This window comes from Homo sapiens, chromosome 5, assembly GCF_000001405.40.
Source record: "Homo sapiens chromosome 5, GRCh38.p14 Primary Assembly".
NCBI lineage: Eukaryota > Metazoa > Chordata > Mammalia > Primates > Hominidae > Homo > Homo sapiens.
Window position 1 is genome coordinate 32,735,248 of NC_000005.10, and position 21,634 is coordinate 32,756,881.

At 40.1% G+C, this 21,634-nt stretch overlaps 1 protein-coding gene across 6 annotated transcripts in view; it reads left to right on the forward strand.

Moving 5' to 3' along the window:
• NPR3 (natriuretic peptide receptor 3) overlaps positions 1–21,634 on the forward strand; it is a 100,849-nt gene that overhangs the window by 44,376 nt on the left and 34,839 nt on the right. For all 6 annotated transcript variants that reach the window (NM_001364458.2, NM_001363652.2, NM_001204376.2 and 3 more), the window contains one exon: positions 3,617–3,783. In NM_001364458.2, coding sequence (NP_001351387.1) covers positions 3,617–3,783 — 167 coding nt within the window. The remainder of the gene's footprint in view (positions 1–3,616; positions 3,784–21,634) is intronic.

A 21,634-nucleotide genomic window follows, 5' to 3' on the forward strand; every position in this document is an offset into this window, starting at 1 on the left:
TCCTCCTCCATCTGGCTCTGCTGCTTCTTTACTGTTAACCTGTTTTCCTTTTCTCTTTGGCGTCATCTGTGACATGCCTCCCTCTGTGTTGTCCCTCACTCCCTTACTGTTGTACAGTCTTGAGATTCCTCACGCACAGTGCTCTGCCTTTGTTCTCAAGGGCTCTATCTCTTTTTTTTATAATAAAAGTCAATGCTTATTGTTGAAAATTTACTATATTCAGAAAAATACCAAAAAAAAAAAAAAAGGAAAAGAAAACTTGCTCATAATTGTAACATCCCAAGAACCATTTTTAGCTTTTTTGGTGTGACTTCCCACATATAACCTTCCCTAACCTCTTGCCTGGATTACTGCGGCTGTGAACGCTTGGTGTCTCCCCCACCCTAATCCACTGCTATTTCCCAAGGCTGATTCTCATCATATCACTCTTCTGTTCTGCTCATAAATCTCTAGAGGCACCCAGTTGTCTACTGCATTAAGTTTGTCCCCACTGATGGGGCGTCATGCCAAGCCGACCTCTGCTTTCCTAATGCTCAACAGCCCTGATATGGGAAATGTTACTGACACACCACAGTTAGAAATGCCCACAAAAGCAAGAAGTCGTAGTATCAGTTATGGTTGGGAATAGATACCTATTTAGCTTGGCTTAAATTTAATAAGCACTACTATTTCCTTCATTTTTTCTAGGAAGCAAAACTCCAGGCTGAGCTCGGTGGCTCACGCCTGTAATCCCAACACTTTGGGAGGCCGAGGCAGGTGGATCACTTGAGGTCAGGAGTTTGAAACCAGCCTGGCCAACATAGTGAAACCCTGTCCCTACTAAAAATACAAAAATTAGCCGGGTGTGGTGGCGCATGTCTGTAACCCCAGCTACTCGGGAGGCTGAGGCGGGAGAATTGCTTGAACCCTGGAGGCAAAGGTTGCAGTGAGCTGAGATCATGCCACTGCCCTCCAGCCTGGGTGACAGAGAGACACTCTGTCTCAAAAAAAAAAAAAAAAAAGAAAAAAAAAAGGAAAACAAAACTCCAAAGCCGTTACCTTTTAGATTGTGGTAGACAGATTTATTGTATTGGATTTTACTTCTTTGCAAATTAAAAAAAGTTTTTGTCCATTTCGGTCCGTGAGATAGTTGCAGTTTCTAGTCCTATGTGTGTTTTCTAATTACATAACATACAAGTCTGTAGAGTTAAGCATTTCCCTTCCCCTGGAGAGAACTTTTTTCCAGAGCTGAGAAACTCACACCCTCTTTGCCTAAGACATCACCTCTACTGAGTCTTGATACTTTGAGTCAATTAAAAATGAATCAATAACTATTTATTGCATGCCTGCAAGCAATGGGCTCCTCCATTGGACAAAGATGTCCTGAGCATTCTTAGAATTTGGGGTCTTCCTGGCAATGGACTTGGCCCCTTAACAAAGGCCATGCTGTATCTTGGTGATGGAGCATCCAGCTGGTTTTTGCCTGCCTGGTGGCTCACTGGCCCGAGCAGGGGTATGGCTCTGCTCACACTGTGGCCTCCTCAGTGTCTGGGAGGTTTCGTGGGAGAGGAGGAGGACTTTGTCAAGTTTTGCTCGGTGGCCTGAAATTTAATCTTATGCTCATTGAGCACAGATTTAGTTCCTAATGAATTCTGTCCTCAGCTGTGTCTTATTTGTCTTTTAACAGCTCCCTGGCACATGTAAGCAATTAATAAATGGTTGCTATTATTAGGATTATGATTATACAGATGCCTCTGCAAACATTTTCTTTGTCTCTGCCTTTTCTCGGGCTCTAGACTAAGTGCCCAGCTGCCTCCTGGCTGTCAGGCACATTTGCACCTTTGCCTGTGCTGTGATGTAGGCTCAGCCAAGCATGCCTTCCACCCTCCTCCCCTCCTATTAAAATCGTGTTCACACAGTTAGGACCTTTCTAATGCCTCTTCCTCACATGCAGCCTTCCCCGGGTTAGAGCTCATTGCATCTTCCTCTCTACTCTGTGTTGTTTCTTTGTACCCCCCATAGTAAGCTGTGGTCCTACCTGTGATAACTTCAACTGTTTACATGTCACACCCTCAGCCTCTCTCTTGAATGTGGTGGAGACTGTATTTACAATGCTCACCCTGCCAATCTCAGGACCTTGCATAGTTCATAGATGTTTGTCTGATTCACACTGTCATAGAAATTCCAAAGCCACCAGGTCTTTGTTAAACTTCTTCAGGAAGAGTAGAGTGAGTGCCACAAAGTCCTGGCCGTATATCCCAGAGACATTCTCACTGCTTAGCTGTTGGGTTCAAGGCCTCTACCAAGGATGAGGGGGCTTGGGGTAAACAAATGACTTTGGCACTGGACTCCAGCAGGTGGAGTTCCTTGTATTTTCAGAGCTCTCCAGGAATCATAACAATACTTCGTAGAAAAAATAGCTCATTGTCAAAAGTTAGAGGTCCACCTTGCCTTTTGGGGCCCTGTAAGCCACGTTTTCTTGAAAATAAAATAACGAAGAGAAAAATAATTATTCTTATTCATGTAATTTTTTGCTTTTGTAAAAGAGAGACCTGTGAAACACTGGGATACCTAGCTTCTCAATGCATCAGTTTTCTTATCTGTAAAATAAAGAGGCTCATAGTACCCATATCACGGGGTCTTCTGAGGAGTAAATGTTTTTACGCATATAAAGTGCTCAACAAATAGAGCTTTTATTATTATTATTATTATAATATATGTGCTTAATAAATGTTAGCAATTTTTATCTCATTACCACTAATGCACTAATGGACATTGTCTAATAAATAATTTCTATGATGTTGCTAGCATGAGAGAGACACAAATCTTTGAGTTCACCTAAGCTACTGTTCACCCTGAAAAGATTCAAGAAATATCAATAATCTCAAACTTTTATTTTAATAGCACTAACTTTCTTTTTTTAAATTATACTTTAAGTTCTGGGATATATGTACAGAATGTGCAGGTTTGTTACATAGGTATACACATGCCATGGTGGTTTGCTGCACCCATCAACCCGTCATCTACATTAGATATTTCTCCTAATGCTATCCCTTCCCCTGCCCCCCACCCCCTGATAGGCCCTGGTGTGTGATGTTCCCCTCCCTGTGTCTATGTGTTCTCATTGTTCAACTCCCACTTATGAGTAACATCACTAACTGTCTAATAGTTGTGCATATCCATTGTCATGCGTCACTGTGACCTGCCGTCCCACACACACATAACATCAGGTTTATTATACCACACTAGCCACTTGATTCACCTCCACAGTTGATTGTAGGTATTAAAAAAGAAGTATGAATGGCAAGGAATAAAAACTGAGTTCTTTCTCTTACAGTGCTGCAATTTTGGGGGTGGGGCAGGGCTGAAAATTGCAGTTACATGGTTATTACAAGGCAATTACCTCAACAGTACTCTTCTTTCTCGCTCACATTTCAAAGGAACACATGTCCAAAGGGCCTTCTTCTCCTTTAATGGTCTTGACGTTGTCCCATCATACCTAAGTGCAAAACTATGACAATACTTCTCTTCCTGGTTGCCAAAAGTAACATGCGGGGGCGCCTCACAGTTGTGAAGGGAGAATGGCCTCTTTATGGTGGCTGGCTTGGAATTATAAATATTTTTATTTCTTCCATAGGAGATGGCTCATGGAAGAGAGGAGACAAACACGACTTTGAAGCTAAGCAAGCATACTCGTCCCTCCAGACAGTCACTCTACTGAGGACAGTGAAACCTGAGTTTGAGAAGTTTTCCATGGAGGTGAAAAGTTCAGTTGAGAAACAAGGGCTCAATATGGAGGATTACGTAAGTGCCTGATTATGAGCCTAGACCTTTAGCATCCTGAAAACTGTCTTCTAATTAAATCAGAGATGACAGAGTGTCCCATTCTGAGCCATTCAAAAATTCCTAGGTTCAGGTCTGAATGTCACTGTTGCCTTCTGTGTGTGTGTGTGTGTGTTTTTTTTTTTTCCTTTCTGGGTGGTTTTCCTCCTTCCCTCCTCAGTATACCCACTATCATCTCTACCCTTCACTTACACTTTTTCAGCTGCTGCAGGAAGGACAGACAATTGCTTTTTCATGGGCACTTGTGGTGGTGCTGAGTAGAATGTCTGTAGACTTCCATCACGTATTTGACTAAGAGGGTTTTGGGGGAGAAGGAGGATGAAGGGGTGCCAAAGATTTGCATGCCTAATTTTTTCAAAGCTTGGTGGCAGCTGATATTTGGGGTTTTAGGATACATTTTCTTTTGGCAGCCTGGCTTAGCGTTCTGGCTAGTCTGCTTGTGGATGGTGTTGTTGCCTCTTTCTGCTGTAAGTTGCTTCCTACTCACATATTGTAGGGCTTCACATTCCATTAGTGCTGTTGTTACTAGTGCATTTCAAGAGTGGACAAGAGTCAGAACCTCATTTCAGACTGAGGATTAAACAGAGGGATTCATCTAAGAGCTGGCACCGCAGGCAGCTGACCACACCTCATTTGGCATCATTGTTTTGACTGCCTCTGACATGCTTTGCTACATGGCCAACATGCCACTCCTGTAAATCCTTTCTTAGAACAGGATGAGTGATGGGCACCTTGGGCTAGTTGAGTAGGTGTGCTGGTCTTCAAAACTAATCACTCTACAGCATCCCAAATTGAAAAGGAGCACCTTCTTCCTCCTCTTCTTTTTTTTGAGTCAACATTTTGCTCTGTCTCCCAGGTTGGAGTGCAGTGGCGCGATCACGGCTCACTGCAGCCTCAAACTCCTGGGCTCAAGCGATCCTCCAAGTTCAGCCCCCTGAGTAGCTGGTACCAAAGGTACACACCACCATGCCCAGCTAATTAGAAGCACCTTCTTAATGATAGGCATATGGCCTGGATAGTCTCTGCCCAAGTTGGATAATGATCAACTTCATAAGAGATGGCCACTTCCAAACAGGATTTCTCCTAGTTTCTCTACTTGAGGTACCACAGAGTACTGGCATTGGCCTCAGAGCTGCCTTCTGAGTCTAGATCTAGCACTTCTGAGCTGTGGGATCTTGGAAAAATTGCTCAGTTTCCCCGATTCAAATTACTTTTTCCTGTTGGGAGGATTTTGGATTATTTACCTGAAGCATTTAACGCTATCCCTGTCAGAAAGTTAGAAAAAAATAAACTGTACCTCTTTTGTACCATTGTTGCAAGATTATACCTGTCTTTATAGGAATTTGTTATCAAATGACATACAAAGGTTCTTATAAACATTTTATTAATGTTTTAAATGTTACATATACTATATTCACATCATTTAAAATACCTTTTGACTTTTTAAATCAGTGCTGTCTGGTAGTTATACAATGTGACCCAAAAAAGTGAGCCACATATAGAATTTAAAATTTTCTAGTTGACATATTTGAAAAAGTGAAAAAAAAAACCCCAGGTGAAGTTAATTTTAATAATATATTCCAATTAACACAATATAAACATATTTCAACATTTAATCAATTAAAAATTATTAATGAGATTTTAATGTATTTCTTGTACTATGTCTTGGAAATCCAGTGTGATTTTACACTTACAGTGTGCAGAGGCCTTGTTCGAGTGCTCAATGGGCCACACATGACTAGTGGCTACCGTATTGGACAGCGTGTTCTGAATTATGAAAGAAGTAGGGTTTCTGCAACAGAGCCTACGTTTAAGGAAACATGTGATAGTGTTGTCATCATCCAAATCCTTTGTCTCAGAAATATGAAAGAACACAAAGGGTACTGAACTTCCTTCAGTAGTGCTGCTAAATGTAGCCTGGGTCATTATTGAAAACATCAAACTCTTTTACATATGCCACTGTATATTGTTTTACTTTATTAGGTTCATATTAATTTTATGGTTTAAAGACTCAACAGTGGTGCCATGTTGTCTGGTTTCCTCTCACTGGGCAAAAGTTAGTATCCCAGCCAGGAGTGGTGGCTGACGTCTGTAATCCCAGCACTTTGGGAGCCTGAGGCAGGCAATTGCTTGAGCTCAGGAGTTGAAGACCAGCTTGGGCAACATGGTAAAACCTCATCTCTACAAAAAATACAAAAATTAGCCAGGCATGGTGGCATGCACTTGTAGTCCCAGCTACTTGAGAAGCTGAGGTAGGAGGATCACCTGAACCCAGGGAGCTCAAGGCTGCAGTGATCCGTGATTGCACCACTGTGCTCCAGCCTGGGTGGCAGAGTAAGACCCTGTCTCAAAGAAAAAGTTGGCATCCCACTACTGGGTAATTCTTCTTGATTATCTGTTATTCTGTGTTCATAATATTAAATCTTATTTTAATGGTAGTCTAAGCAAAATCTCACTGGAAAGGTATACCTACTACAAAGATTTATAGTACATTCCAAACCTGATAAGAGCACTTTAGAGATTATTTGCAGCCCTAGATTACCATACTGCTTCCCTCTGATGGTGGGCCTATTAAAACTGACTTTATAAATAAATAAAAATTAGAATTTTAAGTAGAAGTTAGAGCTAACTATAATAACTTATTTTAGTTCTGAAGATGTGTCCATCTTTTGTATGTATGTAGGTTTTAGTGGGGCTTTTTCTTTTTTTTTTTGAGATGAGGCCTCCCTGTGTTGCTCTGGCTGCTCCTGGGCTCAAGGGATCCTCCTGCCTTCGACTCTGGAGTAGGTGGGATTACAGGTGCACACCACCACGCCTGGCTGAGTTGGGCTGTTGTGAACACCAGCTGCAGATGTTTATCAAGTTAGGTTAGACGAGTGATCCTGGTAAGTATCATGGGAAGGAACTATGGGAGCCAAAGAGCCAGCACCTGGTGTGGCTGGGTTCGCAGAGACTAGTCTTTGATCTAGTGTGGTGCGGGAGCCTGTAGGAGTCTGGGGTCTTCTCTCTAGACTCAGTCTTTTTGCTTCTCTTATTTGTGCTAATGAGTTGTCTCATCTGCTTACTTAGAACTCCAGTTCATGATGCCCATCATGAGCTCTTCGTTCTCTGCTATCCGTCTTGAATTCAGTGACTTTGGTGGACTCTCTCATTTGTTCTAAAATTTACCATGCATTTTCCAAAGAATCACATGACCTAGGAATAGTGACAGTTTTGTTTCTTTTAAATTCTTCTACTTTTAAGTATGCTTAATTGAAAGTGTACTTAAGAAGCTGGGCACAGTGGTACACGCCTGTAATCCCAGGTACTTGGGAAGCTGAGGTGGGAGAATTGCTTAAGTCCAGGACTTTGAGCCCAGACTGGATAACATATCAAGACCTCACCTCTAAAAAAATAAGTAAATAAGGTAATTTTTTAAAAATATAATTAAGTATATGTATGCTTAATTGAATTTTAGTATTAAATATATTGAATTAAAATTAAGTATAATTAATTAAATTAAAACTTTAAATGGCCTTGGGTGGGATCCCAATATGTATTAAACAGAAGCAGTGATAGTGGGCATCTTAACTTTAATGTAAAGAGCATATAACAGAATTCATATCTGTTCACATCACCACTTAAGCATGATGTTTGCTGTGGGGTTCGGGGGACACTCTTTATTAGACTGTGGCAGTTCCCTTTTCTCTCTTGTTAGTGAAGTTTTTTTCTTTGGCAAAATTATTCCTTCTAATACGATAACTGAAACAAAAATAGCACATCAAGCATCAAGGTTTGTATAATGTAGGTTAAGGAAAATCTTTGGACATAGATTTTTTTACTTTAGGCGTTATGTATTGTATGATACCACTGACTCTATTTCTTATATGTTAGTATTGCATTCATCGTATTACCATGTTGTCAGCATCTTTAAAAAGGTTATGGTCTTCTGAAAATGAAAAATTTGAAACTTTAAAATATTTACAGACTATACTGAAGCATTGAGAGGATAGAGTAACAATGATGTTTTTAGTAAAATTAATGTTTCATATTTATAATTTACCAAATTTTGATGGATTAATGCCATTTTGTTTTGGTAAAATTGATCTCTTCTCTCCTCTATCCATCTCTTGCCCTCTCTCTTTTTAATTGACTTTTTAGTAGAGGTAATTGCACACTTACATGCAGTTTTAAGATGCAATACAGAGAGATTCCTTGTATACGTTTCCCAGTTTCCCGCAATGGTAACATTTTGGAAAATTATAAGATCACAACTAGGATATTGACACGGATGCAATGCAGTCATTATGCTCAGATTTCCCAGTTTTACCTATACTCTTTGTATGTGTGTGTGTGTGTGTATTAAGTTCTATGCAATTTTATTCTGTGTAGATTTGAGTGTTTGAATTTTATCAAATGCGTATTCTTACACATATTGTGATACTCAGTTTTTCTTTATTCTGTTATAAAGTTGTGATGTGAGTTGCATTAGTAGATGTTTCTGATTGTAACCATTTCTGCACTCCTAGAATAACTCAGGACCATCTCAACCTCAAGACTGAATCGTTCTATTTCCCAGTTCATATTTTGGAGAATATACTTATGGTTGAACCTACACATGCCTGCCTAGGTGGAGATTTTCAGGCTGGGTTGTCTCAAATGCTATTAGCAGCCTGTAAATTAGCTTCCCTGAGTCCAGTGTTCACTCCTGTTTCCCTCAGCTTGGGTGCTACATGTGTGTGGTGTGATAGAAAATAGGGTTGTTTAGGGCTAGTCTATCACTGGGGCTGTAAGTGTTGCATATGCTATAATTGTCTAGTTATTAGTACATGTATCTTATGACAGTGTCCCCACTATTCCTATGGGTACTATAATATTAAAAAAATGCATTTGTTCTTTTACTAGTGAACCAAGGGGAAATCTATTCCATTCTGATGCATTTTTTTTTTTTTTTTTTTTTTTTGAGACAGAGTCTTGCTCTGTCGCCAGGCTGGAATGCAGTGGCATAATCCTGGCTCACTGCAACCCCTGCCTCCCGGGTTCAGGTGATTCTCCTGCCTCAGCCTCCCAAGTAGCTGAGATTACAGGCACGTGCCGCCACGCCTGGCTAATTTTTGTATTTTTAGTAGAGATGGGGTTTCACTATGTTGGCCAAGATGGTCTCGATCTCTTGACCTTGTCATCTGCCTGCCTCAGCCTCCCAAAGTGCTGGGATTACAGGCGTGAGCCATCTCGCCCAGCCTGCATCATGTTTTAATGAGGCTCAGTGACCACCACTGGAGGCAGTGCAGCCCAGTGGTTAAATACGCAGGCTTGGGATTTCATAGACCTGGCTGCCTCTTACAATTCTTATCTTGGGCACCTTTCTGAGACTTAGTTCGTTAGTTTACTGGCTATTAAATGGGAATAACAATTTTTGACTGAAAAAGTTGTTCAAATAACTCAAGAATTGTATAAAAATAATATTCACCACAATGCCAGGCATTCATTGGATGGTAAGCATTCATCGGTGCTTACCAATGATGAATACTTACCGTGATGAATACTTGGTAAGCATTCATCGGATGGTAGCTATCATTTCTCTTACTTTTGTTTCTTGTATTCCAGGCTGATACATATGACACTCTTTTGTGCCTACCGCATGCAGTACTCTTACTCATCCTTCAGATTGTAACTCAAACATCACTTCCTCAGGACAGTCTTTCCTGACACCCCAGACTATGTCATGGTGCTCGGTTCCTCTGCATCGCAGCACACCTCTTGGGTTGTAATTACACACCGATGTGTGGGATTTTCTGATTAACCTTTGTCTCTTCTACTGTAAACTCTACAAAAGCAGGAACTACTCTTGTTTCTGCCCACTCTTGCATTCCCCTACTGTGTACATGGCACATAGGAAATGGCCAAAGTACCTATTATTATTATGGTTATTATTTTTGTTATTATTGAATAGAAAGTACGTCAAATCAAACACACTTCCTCTACAGTGGTGGAAACTGAGGCTGAGAAAGGTGGGGTGGCCTTTCCAAATGTAACTAGTATATTGCAGGCAGTACAGTGATGTTGGCTGGTGGTGGAGTCTTATGCTTAGACCTTATTGGGTACACAAAGCGAAGTATTCAGTTTCAATTATACCATGGGAAATAGTGTGGGGATAGTAATGGGGTTTCACAGTGGGGGTTCTGAGGACCATCTGGAGGTCCCCTGAAATCTAAAGTGAGAAGTAAAGCCCTACTGCAGAGGCTCTCAACTGTCAGTGGGGCTCTAGGTATGGCTCAGACAAGTTTTTGCCAAGTACCCGCCTGGCCTTTTCTGGTGGTTTCTATTGGGTTGCCCATATGTACAGTGGCCCTCACTCAAGGGCATCTTAATGGTGGTGCTTGGCCTCTGCCCATGAGCAGTTCCAATTCCAGAGCACTGGTATTTGGTTTTAGAATGCACTGTGTGGTGGCCAAGCCAAGATTAGTTGCATCCCCTGACTCCTGCCTGGGTCAGTGACTTTCTTTTTCCACTACATCAGTCTGACCCTTTTAACAACAATGTACCCCATAAGGGGGCAAACCCATGACCTGAAGATTATGTGTCTCAGGCTCTACACGTGAGCCTGGCAGCAACACAGGCTGAAGTATTTCCTTCCTTTCCCTGCACCCCACCTGCCCAAATACACACTTGTAAGATACCGATTTCTCTTTCCTCTTTCAGACACTTGGCAAAGTCTGGCTAGGACTTCATCTCCTCTTCATCCTCAGTGACCTGGTTTTCCTATTTTTTTCTGAAGTATAAACCATCATTCCTTTGATAATCAGATGCTGTTTATTGAGTGCTCCAGAAATATGAATGTGAGTCTGATCCTGGAAAATGAGTGGTCCCATTTGGGGTGGGATCCTCACCCCCTAAAAATACTTGAGCAGGTACATAAATATCCATGACTGTGAGCTCTGGGGGCCCATGAGAGCTGCATTCTTATGCCAGCATGCACAAAAAACAACATATACCTTAGTGTAAAGCACTCTGACACGCTGGTGATAATCACAGGAGTCTGGACAGTTTATTTTGTAGCAGATCACATGTGGCATATGTGTGAAAATATCCATGTTTCCAGAGAATCGAAATTAAACAGTGAGTTCACTTTGTTCTTTAGTAAGAGGTACCTTTCAAATTCATTCATGTTTTCATGAGCTCGTTAGGTGGATGTTTTCTTGACCTAGGCTGTGTTAACACTTTATAATTATGTACAAAATGTTGTGTGTAAGTGCACGTGTGTATACTTTTGGAGAGAAGGGTCAGCATCCATCATCTGATTCTTAATGGGGGTCAGTGTAGCAAAAAGTAGAAAATTATTGAATTAGACCATGGCTTGTCAGTATTCCATTCACCCAGTTACTGTCCTGAACCCTGTTTATTCACATGGATAGGGTACGACAACATCGTGTATGTCAGGTTGCACTGAAAAATCACTCCCTTGGAAGAAACTGAACAAAGACCTAAATGCTTAAATGCTACCTTATCTTACATGATAAAAACCATTAGTTTTATTTCTGAAATGAAAGATATATTCATTTTTTCATTCTGGACTAGGGAGACAGTTCACTCTTTTCAATTCCCAGTGTTTTTGCATTATGCTTTTAAGAGTAGACTTAAATTTGTCCCTGCTACTATTTCTCATGTTAGACTGAGTCAGTGTGGGAGACAGATTTTCCTCTCAGTCAGCTTATTTGGCTTTTCTGGCCTGTAAATTTCACTTTTGACTTGACCCACTCTCCTGATTTGTGTTTGGCACTTTTGAGACCCATTCACTGACTGTCCCTTTAACAGTTGGTTCTGTCTTTGGGTGAAGTTCACATTCCTTCCCTCATATTGTTGTTGTTTAAGTCAAAATAATACACAACTTTCTAGATCGAAAGGGCCCAATATAATGAATTAAATGATACACAACAAATTAAATGATAAATAATACACAACTTTCTAGATTGAAAGGGCCCAATATAATGAATTAAAAATACATTCATAGTACTAAAGAGTTATAGATAAACATGAATCTTCTTTTCTGCCATTCTCTACTTCTAACTCCCATTTCCCTAGAGACAATCATCATTAATGTTTTATCTGCTTTTCTGCTGTTTCTCTCCACATTTCTAAAATTGATTATCCATATTGCTGTTTTTGATAGTAAAAATTTTGATATTATCTCTTGACTTCCTAAAGTGGAAAAAGATTTAGCTAGCTCTTTTATGTACTCTTTCTCTGCCAGTTCTTCCTTTTCCTTCTACCTTCCTAATACTTTATAACATAGTTTCTGGTTAAAAATACATTCATAAAATAAAATGTGAAGAAAAGCTAAAAAAATTCAGAGCTTTTATTATTATGACCATATAAATATTTATAGTAGAACCATATAGTATTCTACAATTACATATCCTTTCCAGTATAGCTTTTTGTTTCTCTGGCCTTACTAATTGCCTTAGTTTTTTATTTGCTTCTGTGCCTATGTAGTTCTTACTGTTTCATTTTCACTTTCTCTGCCAAACATTTTAGATAATGCTGATTTTTTTAAAACCCTTTATCTTCCTGCTCTAATCTAGAGCAATTTATTTCTCCAATACCACCTGGAAATGTCCTTCAGTTCTCTCTTATATCTCTTTTCTCAGGTATCAGATCTCCTTTTTTCTTAAATTTCCCCGTGGTTTTGAAGAAGAAAGGAGGCATGCATTTTTTTTTTTTTTTTGAGATGGGGTCTCACTCTGTCACCCAGGCTGGAGTGCAGTGGTGCCATCTCAGCTCACTGCAACCTCCACCTCCTGTGCTTAATAGATCCTTCCACCTCAACCTCCTGTGTAGCTAGGACTATAGGCGTGCTTCCATGCCCAGCTTATTTTCGTATTTTTAGTAGAGACAGGGTTTCATCATGTTGCCCAAGCTGGTCTTGAATTGCTGTGCTCAAGCAATCCTCCTACCTCAGCCTCCCACAGTTCTGGGATTACAGGTATGAGCCATCATGCCCGGCAGGAAAATCTTTTGAGACTTTGAGTATCAGAAAACATTTTGTTTTAGTCTTACATTTAATTGACAGTTTGCTGGGTATAAAATTTTCTTTGAATACTAATTTTCCTCAAAATTTTGATGCTATTACTCTGCTGTTTTGTAGCTTTTGGTGTTACCATTCTGATTATTTATATTTTTCATGCTTTCTTTTTCTCCATCTCTAGAAGCTTTTAGTATTTTCTCTGTATTGTTGATTGTATCAGTAAGGATCTAGTCAGGAAAATAGAGCCTATGCCAGGTGATTCAACAGGGATTTAATATGAGGAATTACCTTTAAGATGTAGAAAGAACTGAGATGCCAAATGCAAGAATAATGCAAGCCAGAGATTAGCAACAGCAGAAAGCATTACCACCTGTAGAGCTGGAAGGACCAAGGAAGAGGTAGTTTTCCTAAGACTCCAAAGGTAGGGTTGCCCTGGGAGATAAAAGGATAAATGCAGGTTCTTCTAGAGATGCTGCCCGAGGCAAAGGGAAAGTGGGAGAAATATCCTGGCTTTTTTCTTCTTTCTGGTGCTAGTCTCCCACCAGTGCTTCTTCTTGGCTGAACCAACTAGATGTCAGCTGACAGGGAAAGGGACCTGGAGGAGTAATTTTCATATGATATAGGGCAGAGCAAAGCAGATGAAGGGAGGGGAATGAATTGGAGGGGAATGAAATAGGCAGACAACTGTACTCACTGGTGTTCTGAAATTTCACAATAATATGAGTGTTTTTACATCCTTGTTATGAGCACTTTTTGCTTGCTTTTTCTGGAACTTTAAAATGGGATGTGGCTCTTCTCAGTTGATTCTCTAATTTTCTCTCCTATTTTCCAACTCTTCTTTTTTCTTTTACTTTCTGAGAAATTGACTCAACTTTACCTTCCAGCCTATTTATTGAATTTTTAATTTTTGCTGTCATATTTTTAATTTCCAAGAGCTCTCTCTTGTTTTCTGTGCCCCCCTTTTAAAAGATAGCACCTTGACTTGTTTCCTGTATACAATATTTTATCTTTCTGAGTGCATGCTTTCATCAGTTGTAGAATACACTTTTAAAAAATATTTTAACTTATCCAAAATTGAGATTCATTTTATAATTGGTGGGCTGTTATAATTTAATAAGTAGAATTTTTTTCTTTCTAAGGGCAACTTAGAAAAAAAGGTGCTTCTTACAATTGCAGGTATATTACATTTGTTGAGATAAGGTTTTTTCCTCTGAGAACTAAATCAGAAGGAAAAAAGATTTTTTAAAAAAAATTTTCTTTTACTTTCTGCATAGTGTTTGCCTTTCAAGTTCATTTTTTTCTATTAATTTTGATCTCTTTCTCTTTTATATTATAAACTTTTCCTAAACTTTTGGTAATCCTTAGCTGTTTATATTTAAGGGTGAGCCACTATGGAGCTTTCCAGAAGCTCTGTGTGTATGAGTGGAACTTGTTATAGTGGTGAACTTTACTATAGGGTAATAATGTATCAAGCTTGTTATTCAACGGATTATCCCAAATATGAATATCTGGAAGTTGCTTATCTTAGGTTGTTCAGTTTCACTACAAAATTCCCCTCCAAATTCCTTCTTGAGGGTCATAAGGCTGCCCTATATTCTTGGGGCCCAGGGAGTGAAAGTCTCACCTTTAGGACTGCAGACTTATTACTTAAACCCAATTTTCAGTTTTATGCTTCACCCAATCTTCAGCTATGCCTGGTACCTTCCTGTTCAGATCTTCTTGGCTTCAACATCTTCAGACAATAAAACTAACGCCTTTTGCCTGGATGGGACGGGCACTTTCTTCTCTGTATAAGGTTAGGGAGGAGATCCGACTCAATTTAAGGTTGAAAAATGGGATATTTACATAAAAATAATTATGAGAGCTCCTTATACAGACTTTCAACTAATCTTGCTATTTTCAGTGCCACTGCATCCCCCACCTCCAGAGGTGACAGTGACTCCAATTCTAGAGCCTCTGAACTGGACTGGCTTTGCTTCTTGTTGGAGTTCCCTGCCACCCTTCTGTGTACACTTTGGTTGTAGTTTTTCAGTTCTATTGAGTCAGTTACCTTTTCCGAACTTCCAACATTTTGTTGATATTTCTCACTCTGTCACCCAGGCTGGAGTGCGGTGGCGCGATCTCGGCTCACTGCAACCTCCGCTTCCCAGGGTCAAGCAATTCTCCTGCTTCAGCCTCCCGTGTAGCTGGGACTACACGCGCCGGCTACCACGCATGGCTAATGGCTAATTTTTGGATTTTTAGTAGAGACAGGGTTTCACCATGTCGGTCAGGCTTGTCTCCAACTCCCGACCTCAGGTGATCCGCCCACCTCAGCCTTCCAAAGTGCTGGGATTACAAACGGGAGCCACCCCTCCCGGCTTGTCGATATTTCTTATCTGCTATTTCCTTTCTGTACTCTTTAGACTTGTAGGTTTATGTCTTAAAACATTTATTTATTTCATTTTGGTGGGGATTTTAGAAAGAATCTGTGTTTATATGGCTGTGATTTACCTGAAATCTCTTCTGTAGTACCATGCAAGTGTTCAAAGATGGTGGTGCCATTTTTTGTGGGGTGGAGGTGGGGTGGGGAATAATCTTATCAAAGCAGGGGAAAGAGAGACAGGATGTATTTGAGAGAGCGAGTGAACATATGTTTTGGTCCAAAATGCCCTAGCTCCTTTAGAAATTCCCATTTGGTTATAGTTTCCTTCTAAGGGCTGCTTTTCTTCATTTACTAACTCAGTGCATTCTTTTACCCTTGTGGACATACCTGACTTCTGTGGTTCTTTAAAAGCAACTACAGACAAGCAAAACACACGAATAATAATGCATACCAATTGCTTTGCCAGGTAACAACAAAAAGGGTGGTGTCTTGCAGGTTTGTCATCTTGGTATATGAAGACTGTTGATTTTACTTTATGTCTGGAGCTGTTTCCTCTAACATAGCTCTTTGTTGGCTTTTAAAAATGCGTCTTTCCTACATGGACAGGAACATCATTTAGGGATCCTGTTCCCAGTGTAAGGAGACTTTTAGGTTTTAAAGTAGATTTTAAAAAATTGAGGTGACTCAATTTTAAGGTAAAAACAGGGATATTTACATAAAAAATAATTGGAGATATTTGTGTCCTGGCAGGTTATTTGTAGTTTATCACAGCATAATGTAGCAATTTTATACCCTTTCTACAATCTGTTAAAACTCTTTTGTTGTAAAATGAGAGAGAAAAAGGTGAAAAATATTTGAGGATATAAACTTGTTGAAAGGGCCGCAGTTACCTTCCATTGTACCCTTAGAGAGCAGAGACCATCTCCTCTGAAATGAATCCACTCTGTAGCAATCTCCATTGTTGCAGACAGCATCCTTCTAGTGCCAAAGGAGGGAAGGCAGGGTCCTGACTGTGGCCAAGCCTTGTTCTTGTTTTTGGGGTAGAATTTGGTAAATGCTGTTTTTATTTCTAACCAGGTATTCTGAGCAGGGGGTGATTTTATAACCTTGGATATTTGCTCGTTTGAGGTTAGCAGGCCACCCGTAGCTTGTTTTTTCTCCTTATTTAGATGAAAATTTAACTAATTAAACAAATACCCCAGTAGTAACCAATGCACAGCAGTATTGATAGGGGGGTGGGATGTGTGTTTGGGCATTCCCTCTCTCCCAGGTCTCCCTCTGACACTCAAATATGAAACAAGAGGTTGAGGAGCAGGTGGTTTATCTAGCCAAGGTGTTTGAAAGGGACTGGATTTAAAAAGTAATTGTTTAGAATAGCCCAGACGTCACATGTTGGAAAGTCTAAAATGTTGAAAAACAATGCTCTAATTTCCTTATATGAGGGAGAAGTGTCAGCATTAAAGCTGTTTAAACCAACTTGGGGCTGGGTGTGGTGGCTCACTCCTGTAATCCCAGCACTTTGGGAGGCCAAGCCAGGTGGATCACCTGAGGTCGGGAGTTCAAGACCAGCCTGGCCAACATAGTGAAACCCCGTCTCTACTAAAAATACAAAAAAGTTAGCTGAGTGTGGTGGTGGGTGCCTGTAATTCCAGCTACTCGGGAGGCTGAGGCAGGAGAATCACTTGAACCCAGGAGGTGGAGGTTGCAGTGAGCCAAGATCATACCATTGCAATCCAGCCTGGGCAACAAGAGCGAGACTCCTCCACCTCCAAAAACAAAAACAAAAACAAAAACAAAAACAAAAACAAAAACAGAAAACCAACTTGGATTTTGATACTAGTTTTGCACAGAAGCAGTATGGGAGGTGACGTTATTTGAAAAGTTATCAGATCATCAATAAAATCTTGGCCAGACACTTCCTGCCCTCTTGCCTTGTACAATATCATTTAATTGGAATTGTATACTCCTAGAGAAAAAATTTTAAGCTAATGGGAGAAGCTAATGGGAGAAATAAAATGAAGCTGTATTTGCCGCCCTTCCAGCGAGACTGCAAGGCTGGGCTCTTCTGCTGGAGCTGCATCTGGATAGAAGGAGGCTTTCTCCTCCCCTCCTTCGCCCTCACTCCCTTTCTTTAAAGTCAGCTAGGGAATAATTTGTCCATATAAAAAGGTCCTTTCAGGCACTGGAGGGCTTTGCTAATTGTATTTGAGAGAATAAAGGTAAACTACAAGTTGGCTTTTAACAACAGAAAAATAATGAGTTCGCATGGCAACATGTTTAATAAGATTAGTTTTATTAGGAAAATGTAATCAAGTGGACTGAGGTGTTGCAGGAGGAATGGCTGATTAAAAGCCATTCATTTTCTCTAGCTAAAGAACTATCAGTTGGCTTTCAGAACTCATTTAAATAAAGAGGTATTAAAATCTAAAAAATATACATTACTCCCATTTTCTTGGACTAAAAGGGAAACTTGTTTATTCCTCTAATCTTTACTTAGCTTTAGTTGTGCTAAAGTAGAATATTTGAAGAACTTGGGAATCTCCTGATTAGAGTGTTTTTTGTTTGATCGTAAATAAGTATTTGCTTGCAATTGGCACATATTGGCAGGTATGGATTTATTAATTTCAAAAATACTATTGAAGTGGTACAATCTGAAAATGTGAAGAGCCACAATACCTGTGAAAAAGGTCTTTTCCAAGCAATGAGCTTCATTTTGTCCTTCTGAAAGGTAGTCACTGTTTTTTTTCCATTATGTGTGGTAATGTAATTAATTTCAGTTAGAAAGATGTTTTGCAATAATGGTGACAATATACTTAAATATGCATGACTAAAATAGCAATGCAGCGTGGGAATATGTTTTATAATTGAAATGCTATGCTATTTTCTTTTTTTTTTTTTCCTGTATGAAGGAGAACAGCACTTCAGTTAATTTGGCCAGCTTCTTCACAATTGAAACACAATTTAAATTCTTGTTGGAATAGTCCGATCACTTAAAATATGGACTATAGACACATTACCAGTTCAGCCTGTAGAAAGAACATGTATCAGCTCCAGCAGTTATACCCATCAGTGTAACTGAAGGAGTCTGAGGCAAAACTGTAGAGGATAAAAGCTCAGAATTCCTTTTTTTTTTCTGCCTTTCTCACCCCTTCCAATGCCTCTGAGCACCTCAGGGTCTCAGCATCCTTTTTTTTTTTTTTTTTTTTTTTTTTAACTTGGTGAGGACCTCTAATGCACAAAACATTAGAGGTTCAGTAGAGTAGCTTTACCAGGACATTGCATTTAAAGGAGGAACCTGGAAAAGGAAGGCTTAAAGTAAACAAATTTAAAGGTGATATTTTGCTGTCAGTCACAGGAGATGAGAGTGTTCCTCAAATGCCAGGATTTACTCCTTTGATAAGAGAGCCCTGCTCATGAGACATGTCTTCAGTCAGGCCACTTGATGGCCACATTCACAACTTAAACTCCCTTGCATGAAGTTTTGCATTGCACTAGTAAAGTGGAAGCAATATTACTCTGCACTTTAGATCATTTGACAGGACCCAGAAAGGCATGCTCATGTAGTCAGCCTTCCAGCTTGGAAGAAGAGAGACTGACAGGCCACTGCCAGCTTCCTTGGCCACTGTACTAACCAAGGACTCTGGTGTTTGATGCTGACAGCAGCCACAGTTTTTTAAAGTCTTAGAGCAGAGTTCTGGTTCATAAGGCCTGGCCATTGATGCTGCTATCCATGTGGGTGGATGTGGTGGAGGAGCCCAAGGTAGTGGTTCAATAAATATTAATTGATGGGTATTAAAACAATCGATGACCCAAGGGCATGCCACCTCGTGTGCCAGAGACTTTAATTTGTTAAATGAAGTAAACCACACTGAGTTGCTCTTGGAAGTTATGAAAAATGATTGTAAAGGGTTTTTTTTTTCTTTTTTTAAGCTCAAGCACTTTGAGTGATAGTAGCCAAAGACAATAGTCCCAGCAGCCGAGTGTAGAACCTCCCCATGGCCCTGCAAGCAGTGTGTATGTAGTAACAGTTTTAAGTGATATCCTTTCTGGGGTCCAGCCAATTGTTAAGAGAGAGGAACTAGAATAATATATTGCTGGGGATTCAGCCCTCTTACTGATCATAAAATTTCAAAGGAGCTCAAGCTGTAGGAAATTAGTTTGGATTAGTATTTATCTTCTGATTTTTTTTCTCCTCTGGGGTGAACTTGCTTCTTGTATAAAGATCTTAAAAAATCTGGCCCCACAGACTGTGGGGAGGGGGGTGCAGAGAGGATTATTTTTTGTATAATAAACAATATGACTATTGGCCTGAATTTGAAGACCTTTATTAATTATTTCTTCTACCCAGATATCTCTATGTGGAATAATTACTAAATCACTGGTGTTGGAAAGCTGTGTTTATACCCTATCTTAAAGAGATTTAATTTCTTTTTTTCTTTTGAGACGGAGTCTTGTTCTGTAGCCCAGGCTGGAGGGCAGTGGCGTGATCTCCGCCCACTGCAAGCTCCGCTTCCCAGGTTCACGCCATTCTCCTGCCTCAGCCTCCTGAGTAGCTGGGACTACAGGCGCCCGCCACCACGCCCCGCTAATTTTTTGTATTTTTAGTAGAGATGGGGTTTCACCATGTTAGCCAGGATGTTCTCGATCTCCTGACCTCGTGATCCGTCTGCCTCAGCCTCCCAAAGTGCCGGGATTACAGGCGTGAGCCACCGCGCCCGGCCAAGAGATTTAATTTCTTTGTTAGTCAACAATTCTGTGTGAGATTGACATACCAATTTTCCCACTGTTGCCACACATATTATATTCATTTCGATCTTAGGTTATTTTTCCTTTTCTGTGCTCAGTGGTGACATATATTTATGGTAACTGTATGTTCAAGAATTCCTTGGATTAAACAGATTTCAGATGTGGTTTATTTGACCTCTCAGTGCACATATATTTTTGTTAACCACTTGACTCTCCCTATCAGCACACATATAGTTAAGCCTGAAGATGGTTGGTGATTGAACCCATATATGCACCCTCCAGCACTCCGTGAGCTCCTTCTCTGGGTAAGGTATTGTACTATGTGCTGTGAGGACAATTTAGCACCTGTGTTGGGGTTCCCTGGTGGGTCAAAATAGATGAGTAGATATGAGCCTCTTAAGTGAGGCAAATACAGGGAATCCAAGCTTAGAACTAGAGACGCATTAGACACATTTAAGAAATAGTGAAATAACCCTGCTTGAATGGATGGATTTCTTAGAAGAGTGGTTTGGAAAGATCTGTGTCTTTTTGAAATTTGTTCCTTCCTTGACTGCCAAAACACCATCATCTCCAAGTTCTATACCTACATTGCCGCATCCTTCTTTGTCTTCTTTGATGACAAAGTGTTCTCATTGTTCAATTCCCACCTATGAGTGAGAACATGCGGTGTTTGGTTTTTTGTTCTTGCGATAGTTTGCTGAGAATGATGGTTTCCAACTTCATCCATGTCCCTACAAAGGACATGAACTCATCATTTTTTATGGCTGCATAGTATTCCATGGTGTATATGTGCCACATTTTCTTAATCCAGTCTATCATTGATGGACATTTGGGTTGGTTCCAAGTCTTTGCTATGTGAATAGTGCTGCAATAAACATATGTGTGCATGTGCCTTTATAGCAGCATGATTTATAATCTTTGGGTATATACCCAGTAATGGGATGGCTGGGTCAAATGGTATTTCTAGTTCTAGATCCTTGAGGAATCACTAAACTGTCTTCCACGAATGGTTGAACTAGTTTACAGTCCCACCAACAGTGTAAAAGTGTTCCAGTTTCTCCACATCCTCTCCAGCACCTGTTGTTTCCTGACTTTTTAATGATCACCATTCTAACTGGTGTGAGATGGTATCTCATTGTGGTTTTGATTTGCATTTCTCTGATGGCCAGTGATGATGAGCATTTTTTCATGTGTCTGTTGACTGCATAAATGTCTTCTTTTGAGAAGTGTCTGTTCATATCCTTTGCCTACTTTTTGATGGGGTTGTTTGTTTTTTTCCTGTAAATTTGTTTGAGTTCTTTGTAGATTCCGGATATTAGCCCTTTGTCAGATGAGTAGATTGCAAAAATTTTCTCCCATTCTGTAGGTTGCCTGTTTACTCTGACGGTAGTTTCTTTTGCTGTGCAGAAGCTCTTTAGTTTAATGAGATCCCATTTGTCAATTTTGGCTTTTGTTGCCATTGCTTTTGGTGTTTTAGACATGAACTCCTTGCCCATGCCTATGTCCTGAATGGTATTGCCTAGGTTTTCTTATAGGGTTTTTATGGTTTTAGGTCTAACATTTAAGTCTTTAATCCCTCTTGAATTAATTTTTGTATAAGGTGTAAGGAAGTGATCCAGTTTCAGCTTTCTACATATGGCTAGCCAGTTTTCCCAGCACCATTTATTAAATAGGGAATCCTTTCCCCATTTCTTGTT